The sequence below is a fragment of the Homo sapiens genome, chromosome 14 (assembly GCF_000001405.40).
Source record: "Homo sapiens chromosome 14, GRCh38.p14 Primary Assembly".
In the NCBI taxonomy this organism is placed as follows: Eukaryota; Metazoa; Chordata; class Mammalia; order Primates; family Hominidae; genus Homo; species Homo sapiens.
In genome coordinates this window covers 45,706,023-45,717,874 of record NC_000014.9, presented here as the reverse complement: position 1 = coordinate 45,717,874, position 11,852 = coordinate 45,706,023, and the positions used below count along the sequence as shown (strand labels likewise).

Genomic DNA, 11,852 nt, shown 5'->3' with positions numbered 1-11,852 from the left:
CCACAGGAACCTCTTGCTCCATATACTAAAATTAGCTGACCGTTATTTTCATATATGAACCAAAGAGGTGTTTGTCTACAACGTACACAGTTACCAAGATGCCTTCAGGTAGTCTGGGTTTCACTACAATAGCTGTGAAGCACCTATTATAAACTAAGTACTCTTATACATGAAAAGTACACAATTCCTACCCCATAGAAAATAGAGTATAGACAGGGGCAGTATAAGTAAACAAAACAATGACAGGACAATGCAAAGAGAGCATCAGCAGCAAAAAGCTCTGTGCCATCTGGGTAAGAGATGATACAGAAGGGGGAATGGTTAACTTGTTCTAGAGGCATCAGGAAATGTTTCAAGCAAGAGAGAAAATCCAGGATGATGTTCTCCTACAAGAAACCTAAAAAAATCAAGGAAAGTATATTTCTTTATATTTAAACATGCTTTTCTAACCCTGAGTTTTTCATTTAATGAGGAATATATTATAAAGAAGAGTGGTAAATGTTACTGAGTTGTCCTTAACCTTCAAAAAAGTTTTAACTATGTGCTGTAGATAAAAACTATAATACTTAAGGATCTATATCTTCTCACCAGATTTTCCAAGTGTGTTAATAATAAATCTACTCTGGAAAAATATTACCTATGATTAAACTACATTCCCCGTTATTGACCTTTACGACCTCATGCTTCCTTTGCTAGGGTGCTATAATTACCTCATAAAAGAAAGGGTAGAGTAACAGGACCCATGAAGATAAAAAACATCCACTGAATTTCCCTCACTCAAGCTATCATCTGGAATCTCTGAGTCTCTCAACCTTTTTCTAAAGCTATTAATATTATTGCTGTGTTGACCTTTGCTGCTGTTTGCCATTTTGAAATTTACAGATCAGCAAGCACCAGTAAATCTTGTCAGAATTAATGCAAATGTAAGACACAGTCATTACAGGCTCCTCACGGTAAAGAATAGCTTGCTACAATGTTATTACCGAGACACAATTTATCCTGATTGCCAGAAAGATGAGACACCCTGAATATAAGCAGTAAACTGGCTCTGAGAAATAAATCTCACTGGCATTGCCCACACAGAAGTTTGCTCACGCGGATGAATGCTGTCAGTGCAGCGAGTGGCGGAGTGATTGATTCACTCCCGTACATCTCCCATCTCCCCCTGCTGGAGAATGAAAGTTAATTTGCTCTCATTCATTCTGTTCACCACACTAGATGTTTTTAAGGGTTGAACTCAGAAAATGAAGACAAGTAAATAATGGTTTCGATGACTTTTTTTCCCGGCAGTGGATGTGCCTTCATATTTCAACCCTGCACATTTCTTTCATAGGGTAGCTATGATTAATATACCAATGAATTCCAAGTCAAACAGGAAACATTATTTGCTCTGTTGGATGAGCTTATGTTTCTGATATATAAAAAAGTGATTCCATAAAAGAATTGAGGATATATAGGTAGCAAAATTCCAGTTCATGACAATTTCATCTTCTCAGTGCATTTTTAAATCACTTTTTCTCTATGAAAAATTCTTGCAATGATATTAAAGAACTAAGAATTTTAATGTAGTCTTCTTTAAAGAATAGAGTGAATGTTGGTGGCCAAAAGAATGAGAGTTATGATCAACTCAGTATACCACTGGAGGCTACAGGAGCAAACAGCAAACTGTTTCTCATGAAAGCAGGATGTTCAAAGCAGGATGTTGGCAAAATGACAAACTGCATCTGCCACCCAGAAGGAATGCTGAGGGCAGTCATGCCCCAAGTGCAGTGTTTTTGTGATTAGGCACAACTGAAGCTTGTTAGCAATAATATGACCCTGTGATTAATTGAGCGGCTGACCAATCATTACCTCCTCCTCCCTGCTCTTTCTACCCAATAAATACAAAGGGCTGTGGAAGCTCAATGGGCTGCCTTTGCTCATTAGAAGCAGGGAGCTCTCTTCTTCTTCCCCTGGATCCTTCCTTTAAAATAGTTTCTTTTGTCTTAAGTTTTCATTTCTACGTTTGTCCCTTCATTCAGTCTCTTAAATGACGGTCTCAAGCAGTAACAGTAGTAATTGCTGTAATGACGGTCTCAAGTAGTAACCAGGGCACTCTGCCACAAGTGGCACCTGAACAGGGACTAACAGGGACTATCAAGAACAAACGGAGACCTGAAGAGACCTGAAGGGAACTGAAGAGGTCTGCAGGGACAAATAGAGATAAGTAGGGATAAATAGAGATAAATAGAGACAAATAGAGATAGGTAAGGAATGACAGGGACTTGCAGGAAGTAACAGGGACCATAGGGACAGATAGGGATAGATAAAGACTAGCAAAGACTAGCCGAGATTAGCAAAGACCAGCAAGGACTAGCAGAGACTAGCAAAGACTAGCAGAAACTTGCAGGGACAGGCAGAGACAGATAGGGACAGATAGGGTCCTACAGGGACTTGAACGAGGAAGATCTGCTGGAAAAGAAAAGAACTACAACCAACCAGATGAACAAGAAACCCTGTTACAAGTCTGCTGGCAGCAACATAAGGTCAGTGCTCTAAAAAGGTACTGGTCAGTACCCTAGAGGTACAAAGAACGGGAAGTTTTTGATCAGGGTAACATGGGGAAGAATTTGGTTATTTCTTTTCTCTTTTTTGTTTGGAGTTTGGTACGTGCCATCTTCTGTTATTTCAGGGTTTGAGAGAATTTTTTGCCCCACCTACAGCACCTATGGAGGGTGATGAACAGGAGAGGGAGGATGAAAATTGGCTTGTATCATCTTCTTTAGTGGTTGCAAAAATGCTAAATGTTATAAGTGTAGAAAAATTGGATCTATGGGAGTAATTTTAGGTAAAAGTCAACTTAACTTACACGGTATTACTGTAGTCCCAGGAGTTGTTGATTCGGATTGTGAAGGAGAAATTCAGGTGGCGGTAATGTCATAAGATTTTAGGTTTTAAACCAGGAGAATATCTTGCAGAACTGTTGCTTATTCCCTGTAAATTGCACCCTTCTCCACATAAGGAGAAATGAGTTTGTGGATTTGGCTCAACTGTTGCTTATTCCCTGTAAATTGCCCTCTTCTCTATGTAAGAAGAAGCGAGGAGGTCGGGAATTTGGGAGTACAACTAGGAGAGAGATTTATCTATCACAACCCATAGCATCTAATAGACCCACCTGTACAGTACAAATTGAAGGCTTAAGGATTGTTTTTTTACTATGTTATTGCACGAGAGGGAGAGGCTTCGATTTGTTTTCTCTGTGCCTTCTGTTAATCAGAAAGAGCCTGCTTCTCATTATCAATGGAAAGTTTTACCCCGTGGCAATTAACCAAAGAGGGAGAGGCTGAGCTGTAGCTTGTAGAACAAATGCTTCTGCAATGGCATGCCTCCCGGCTTAGAGCCACCTTTGCTTCTGTTTTGGTAGATTTACTAACTTGGGGACCAGGGTATGCTTGTTTTTGCAGGAAATGAACAAAAAGTGTGGGTGCCCCCAAGGTGTGTACTACCATGGAATGGGAGATTGGAGGGACACATGGATCCCAACCGTGGGCCTGGTTCCCCCAGTATGAGCTGAATACGAAGACAGAACAAACCACCAACCGGCAATTGAAGGTTGCACATTTTGCAATTGCCTTTCTCAAGTAATTCAATAACAAAAAGGGAGAGATGAATTGGAGGCTGAAAGAATGAGGGTCATGATCAAGTCAGTATACCACTGGAGGCTATATGAGCAAACAGCAAACTGTTTTTTTTTTTTTTTTGAGACGGAGTCTCACTCTGTCACCCAGGCTGGAGTGCAGTGGCGCGATCTCGGCTCACTGCAAGCTCCGCCTTTCGGGTTCACGCCATTCTCCTGCCTCAACCTCCCCAGTAGCTGGGACTACAGGCGCCTGCCACCACGCCCGGCTAATTTTTTTGTATTTTTAGTAGAGACAGGGTTTCACCGTCTTAGTCAGGATGGTCTCGATCTCCTGACTTTGTGATCCGCCCGCCTTGGCCTCCCAAAGTGCTGGGATTACAGGCATGAGCCACCATGCCTGGCCTGCAAACTGTTTCTCATAAAAGCAGGATGTTGGCAAACTGACAAACTGCATCTGCCACCCAGAAGGAATGCTGAGGGCAGTCACGCCCTAAGCACAGTGTTTCTTGTGATTAGGCACATCTGAAGCTTGTTAGCAATAATATGAACCTCTGATCAATTGAGCAGCTGACCAATCGTTACTTCCTCCTCCCTGCTCTTTCTACCCAATAAATAGGAAGGGCTGTGGAAGCTTAAGGGGGCTGCCTTTGATCACTAGAATCAGGGAGCTCTCTTCTTCCCCTGGGTCCTTTAAAACAGTTTCTTTTGTCTTAAGTTTTCATTTCTATGTTCGTCCCTTCGTTCAGTCTCGTAAATGACGGTCTCAAGCAGTAACAGTAGTAACTGCTGTAACGACGGTCTCAAGTAGTAAACATGCCAGTCTGCCACACGTGAATGAATAAGTAAATCCTAGAAAATAAAACGGAGGAAGCAGTGTTTTTAATGCCTCCAGAAAATAGCCAAAGTGTAGAAGTTTATCAGTCCTTAGGGAAAGGAAGAACATTCAAAAGAAATTAACTCTAAATACATGAAAAGGAACGTGGATATATGAGTAAAAGGGAGTGTAGGCATGAAATAGACTTAGGCAATATCAACTATCTCAGATTTCAAAAGACCTGAGAAGTCACAATTAGAAATGCCACAAAGATCTGGACGCTCTCAAGAGCTACTACCATAGGAAAAAAAAGGAATGTCAAAATTAAGAGGAGAGCATATTTGGAACAGAATATAAAATACAAGAGAAAAAATTAAAATAAGCAGAAGTAATATTTTAAGAGAAGTTAGAGCATATTAAATTGCCCATTTTAAAATTCTTCAAAATATTTTATAATCCTTTAAAGAAATTATAAATTAGAAATCTCTTAAAATAGTTCTTCAAATTTCAAATTTAATTTGAAGATAAAATAAAAATAGGGTCTAAGCCCTATATAGGTTTTATTATAAGAGTAGATCTACCAAATCTAAATTATAGTACCAACTATATAAGCAAAAGCACCTTGGAAAATGAGTTTTCTAGAAAAGGACTGGCATATTTAGAAATTTTAAGGCATTTAAATTGATCCTTTAAATGTTTATTGAGTGCCTCTCAACATATCAAACATTATTCTAGGTGGTGAGGATAAAAAAGAGCCTTCCTTTAAGGTGTTCATAATCTAAGAAAGTAGAATAATATGGTTCTTTACTTGTGGTAATTTATATATGGTAGAGAGATTGAGTGAATCTTCTTTTTTTAACAAAAGTCCAAGAAAATTGAGGGTAAAAATAGTTTTACTTTTCGATAAGGTATCTGATTCATAAGGAAATTGTTTCATTAACTCCTTTCAGCTATCAGGAAAATTAAAGAGCAAATATGGATTACAAATGTTAATAACAGCTGACCAGCCAAAATGGCTCATTTACTCTGAAGCAAAACCTTTCTACACTTAATTTTAAAAAAGAATTATGTTATTCTTGGCCAATGAAGATTATAAAATGTAAAAGTAGAATTGATAAGCATAACCTTGAGAATAAATTGTGAAAATAAGAGTAGGAAAATGCCAGTGTGTTTCTACTTGTAAAGACAGATGACATTCCAGAACTCATTTCATAAATAAAAAAGCAATTTGACCAGCATATCATGCTATTTTACCTGTAATAAGAAAAGTAACTTAAAATCAGATTTTGGGAGCAGCCAGGCAAAATAAATATCAAAGTTATATACTTCTAATGTTAGTAACAAAAAAATAATTCACAAACCGGGGGTTGGGCTCTGTGGTGTGTATGTCACAGGGTTATAAAACCGGCATCCACATCACATTTTGAGTTCTTCTGTCTACCTGGACAGCCATACAGTAACTACACCTGTTTCTCTTCCAAAATACAGGATGATGCCCATTCTATTTCCTAGGAAGGGATAAGTTTTAAGGCCTTATAAAAAGGTAAAGTTACTAATTGACTCCCTTTCTATTTTACTTTTTTTTTTTTTTTTTTGGTAATCTATCTTAAAGACTTGGGGAAAAGTGAACATGAGCAAATAATAAATATAAAAAAAGAAAAACATCTATTTAAGATCACTTCTAATTTCTCCCACGCTAAAAGAAAAAAAATCTTACTACACCTTATACTTTCCGAGTTATTGCCCCATTTTAAAATTTCCCTTTGTAGCAAAACTCTTGATCAGATTTCCTACCCCACCAATACCCCTCATGAATATATGATGCAAAATTTAAAAATATCCATCAAATGCAGAAATATATTTTTAAAAGAATATGTCATAACCAAGTAGAATTTACATTAGAAAATAAATTAATACATTTTATTGCATTGACAGAATAAAGAAGAGGAAGGCTCTAACAAAATACAGGGACCATTCATGATAAAAATTCACAAATTAAGAATGGAAGAGAAGCTCCTCATTCAGATAAAGGGCATCTGCGAAAACCTGTAACTTACACTATATTTATTGGCAAAATACTGGATATTATCCTTTGTCCCTCAACTTCAGGAATCCAGTCAGTGTGATAAAGACCAAAAAAGCATAAAATGGATAAAGATTGGAATGGAAGTATTAAGTCTTTATTCACAGAAATTTAAAAGTATATAAATTTATCATATAGATGTTATCTATGAAATCTCAAACAACCAAAAAACACTAAATATAAGTAAATTTAGCAAGGTTGTAGAATATGAAGTCAATGTAGAAAAAAAGCTGTGCTTGTGTATACTAGAATGACTAATTGAAAGTAAAATTTAAAAATAATTTACAATAAAAAATTACAAATATTTTAACAGATATTAATGAAGACCTATATAAACAAACATACCATGTTTAGGAATTAGTAGAATTGATATTGAAACAATGTCAATTCTCCCCAAATTCTGTATAGATTCAATACCATTCTGACCAAAACCCCAGTAAGTTTACTTATACAAATTTACAAGATAAATCTAAAATATTTAAGAAACCCCAAAGAACTTTAGGTAGCCAAATATGATTTTTAAAATAAAAACAAGGTTAGAGCACTAATACAACCTGGTTTCAAAACTTGTTATAATATTACAGTAATCAAAATAGCATGGCATTGGCATAAGGATGGAAAAATAGATCAGTGAAACAGAATAGAGTTCCAGAAATAGATCACCACATTTAGAGTCAGTGGGGAAAACAGAATATTTTCAACAAATGGTGGTGGGACAAGTGACCAGAATGCAAATTACTTCAATTTATAATAGAAATTAATTCAAGACAGATAATAGACCTAATGGTAAAAGCTAAAACTGTAAATCTATAAGAAATCATGGAAGGATATGTTCACAATCTTAGGGGAGGTAATGATTCTTAGAGAGTACATAAATATCACTAATCATAAAATAAAAAAATAATAAATTAGACCTCATCAAAATTAAAAATGTCCATGCTTCTAAAAAAAGTGTTAAGAAAAGGAAAATTCAAGCCACAAACATACACACGCACATATAACACACATCCAGAAAACACAAAAAATCATACGAGTTAATAAAAGTCTAATTTTTAAAATTGGGAACATACTATAATAAAAAATACATAAAACACATATTTAAAAGTGTTCAGCATCTTTAATCATCAGGAAAATGCAAATTAAAGCTACAATGATAATATTGTTTCCCACCCACTAGTATAGATAGCTAAATTTTAAAAAGCTGAAAACACCAAATGTTGGTAAGGATATGGAGACACTGAAACTCCTGTAACATTGCTGGTGGAATTATAAAATGGTACCAATATTTTGGAAAACTGCTTGGCAATTTCTAATAAAGTTAAACATATGCGTACTGTATTAGGGTTCTCCAGAGGGACAGAACTAAAAGGATATATATATATATGAAAGGGAGTCTATTAGGGAGAATTGGCTTACTTGATCACAAGGTGAAGTCCCATGATAGGCCGTCTGCAAGCTGAGGAAGAAAGAAGCCAATAGTGACTCAGTCAAAGTCCAAAATCTTCAAAGGTAGGGAAGCTGACGATGCAGCCTTCAGTCTGTGGCCAAAGGCCGGAAAGCCCCCAGCAAACCACTAGTGTAAGTCTAAGAGTCCAAAGGCCAAAGAAGCTGGAGTCTGATGTCTGAAGGCAGGAGGGAGAGATGGATGGATGCATCCAGCAGGGGAGAAAGGTGAAAGTCAGAAGGCTCATCAAGCCAGCCTATCCCACCTTCTTCCGCCTACTGTGTTCTGGCTGTGCTGGCAGCAGATTGGATGGTGCCCACCCACATTGAGGGTAGGTCTTCCTTTCTCAGTCCACTGACTCAACTGTCAATCTCCTCTGGCAACACCTTCACAGACACACCCAGAAACAATACTTTATCAGCTATCTAAGCATCCTTCAATCCAATAAAGTTGACACCTTTATTAACCATCACACCTACCCTATAAGTGAGCATATTTGCTCCTGGGTATTTTTTCTCAAGAAATATGAAAACAAATGTTGACACAAAGACTTGTATAAAATGTTTTTATGCCAGGCATGGTGGCTCTTGCCTGTAATCCCAGCACTTTGGGAGGCCAAGGAGGAAGGATCACTTGAGTCCAGGAATTCAAGACCAGCCTGAGCAAGACAGTAAGACCTTGTCTCTACAAAAAAAAATAAAAATTGAGGTGGAAGGATCACTTGAGCCCAGGAGGTCAAGGCTGCAATGAGCCATGATCACACAACTGCACTCCTGCCTAGGTGACAGGAGTGAGACTCTGTAAAAAAACAAAACAAACAAAAAAAATTGTAGTGGCTTTATCTTTAGTAGCCAAAACAGCCCAAGTGTCCATTAGCAGGACAGGCATATATATATATATTGTGGTACCAAAATAGGAACAAAAAGAGAGACAAACTGTAGAGAAAACAATAGGACAGGTTTTTAAAAATAGTTCATATGAAAGAAGCCAGATACAAAACAGTACATACTATATTTTATTTACAGAAAGTTCATGTATAATCCAAACTAGTCTATAGGGATAAAAATCAGAACAGTGGTTGCCTGTGGAAGTGGTGTGTACAGAAAACCTTAGCTAGAGATGGAAATGTTCTATATTTGGATGGAGATGCTGTTTACCTGTGTGTGTTCATTTGTCAAGACTTATTTAATTTTACATTTAAGATTTACGCATTTTGATGTAGGTAAATTTGATCTTAATAAATTATTTAAAAATATAAAATATCCTTGCTTACTAGTCAAAAGTCATTGCTGAAATAACATTACCTGGTGTCAGTAAGAAATAGATGAGTTCTCAAACACAGAATATTGTTGAGGAATTTTGTGATATTTGAAAGCCTAAGGTCTCTTATTCGTTGGCTGGCCATAGCACAATCTTGAAAAAGAAATGTTGTGTCTGTACATATTTAATTATGGACACCACTATATGGCTACTAAAGAACAACCCACCTTTGCCCAAATTACATTACCAGGTTATCTGGGATCAAAGGTATAGATGTGGAATTCAAGGTCTTAAACTAGAATGAAGTATGGGGAAGAAAGTGGAAAAAGCATTAAATGTGTGGTCTGTGTGCTATGTGTTTTCTGATGACTAAGTCCGAATTTTCTAGGAAATACAAAGCATATTTCAATTTTCTGAGTATTATGTGTTTACAGATATCTATTTTTCTTAGCATTTCCAGTAAACAAATGGGAATATATAGTTAAATTTGTTCCATAGGTACAAATATTGAAGGAAAGGGAAATTAAATTTGTAACTACTTGATACCAGTGTGACTAGCTTAAAAAGAAACATTTTTATCAGTCAGTTGCCTGGATATCATGACTGTTTAAAATCAGACAACTAAAAAATTATTTTAATTAATTTACCATCTTTTAGAATATAAGTCACAATTTTTTATCCCAACGCTAAAAGATCAGGTAACAGAAGAGAAATTAAAACCAACCTCTCAATTTCTGGTCTGAATATTCCTTCCAGTAAATGATAGCTCCTTACAAATACAGAGGACAAAATAAAAGTGACTTAATTATAAAAACACAGGTGAGTATTGGTAATAGTTCCCTGAAAGAATGAAGAGTTTGAGTTTTTCCTTATTTATAGGCAATTACGAGAGTGTATTCAATTTATTGTTGGAATATGCCACACTCTACTACAAAGTAACATACAAAAGCTTTTCTTACTTGCAGACTTGAGAATTTTTATACATTTTTTAAAAATATAAATCATTCCAAGAAAATTCAGTCTACTCACTATTTTCAGCCTCATATAGTTTCTTCATACAGTAATTCCCCATCTTATTATGGTGACAGACACCTTTAAAAACTGGATGAACACCGCTATCGAGTTTCTCTTCAGAAAAAAAATAAACATATATGTTTGTACACATAAAATTTAGCAAGTAATTTCCAGAAGTTCATGAGCTCATGAGGAAGAGACTCTTCTCTAAAAGAATCACACTATCAATTCATGGTGATTCTTTTAATGACTAATTCAATTCTAACTACTAATCAACAAATTACATAGAGAAGTGTTTCGCTACAAATATAAGAAACTCCTTGTTAGATTTACATGTAGAATATTCATTTGATACAGGTGATATTTGACAAACTGTTAAGAAAATGGACAACAGGAAAATGTCATGATTTCATTTTAGTTTTAAATAAATTTTTATTTATTTATTTATTGAGATGGAATCTCGTTCTGTTGCCCAGGCTGGAGTGCAGAGGCGTAATCTCAGCTCACTGAAACCTCCTCCTCCCAGGTTCAAGCAATTCTGCCTCAGCCTCCCAAGTACCTGGGATTACAGGCAACCGCCACCACGCCCGCCTAATTTTTGTATTTTTAGTGGAGACATGTTGGCCAGGCTGGTCTCAAACTCCTGATCTCAGGTGATCCATCTGCCTTGGCCTCCAAAAGTACTGGGATTACAGGTGTGAGCCACTGTACCTGGCCTGGTTTTAAATAAATTTCAAATATTATAAATCACAACTTATATTTTAAAATAACGGTCCATGAATGTATAGATTATTTAGCAGCAATTCTTGGTGTACAGGTGAATTTGCAAACCCTCAGGAATATCTCTAAGAACCCCACTCCCACCACAGTCCAGTGAAGCCAAATGACTGGGAAAAGCAGAAATAGAAAAAAGGCTCCTAAGAGAAAGTATTTTAATTTAAATACAGAAGAATACCCTCAGAGAGAGAGACAGAAAGACTATGTTTTTAAAAAGAAAATTTACTATCATACAATCCCTATAATTATACTGCACTGTTCTTTTAAAATAGCTGTAGTTTGTTTCAATATGTTATTTGCATTTTGTTTCAGAAATATTTCTTAACAGCAAATTGTTTTCATTTTCATTTATAACCTGTAGTGACACAAAGTGAACCGGGTTCTATAAATTACCATGGAAAGTGGTGAGCCAACGATTTGGCAGAACAAAACCCTGAGGATATGCAAACAAAAGGGACTATGGAATTTGCAATTGCAGATTAAAATTGAAGAAGAAAACATTTGAGTTGCAAATACCGTATTAAAAGTGGACACTGCTTATGACTGCTGTATGCAACAGTTTTTCAGGCCCGAGGTGATAAATAAAAAATTGTTTGCTCTATTTAACCATTGAATGCTTGGACTACTTTTGTATCCTTAAGATGTGAAGTGTTCTTCACTAGAAGTAAACATTAAGGTCATTTACCATTGATTGCTTAAGGCTAGTAAATACGTTTAAGGAGTTTTAAAGCTTTACTTTGGGAGAAGTCAGGACCAGACAGCTTAATAAAGCCACTCTGTGTGGGACCATGACTAAGTTTTGTTGTGTTTACAGACATTTTGTCACAGAATCAAAGTTAAC

General features: G+C 36.3%; 1 long non-coding RNA gene across 2 annotated transcripts; it reads left to right on the top strand.

Annotated features, from left to right (window-relative positions):
• Nucleotides 1–2,272: 2,272 nt before the first annotated feature.
• Nucleotides 2,273–11,617, top strand: LINC02303 (long intergenic non-protein coding RNA 2303). 2 transcript variants are annotated; one of them, NR_146546.1, is made up of 3 exons: nucleotides 2,273–2,525; nucleotides 5,922–5,976; nucleotides 11,373–11,617. It is a non-coding gene; the product is annotated as a long intergenic non-protein coding RNA 2303 (long non-coding RNA). The 2 variants fall into 2 exon arrangements; NR_146547.1 differs by lacking the exon at nucleotides 5,922–5,976.
• The last annotated feature ends 235 nt before the right edge of the window (nucleotides 11,618–11,852 follow it).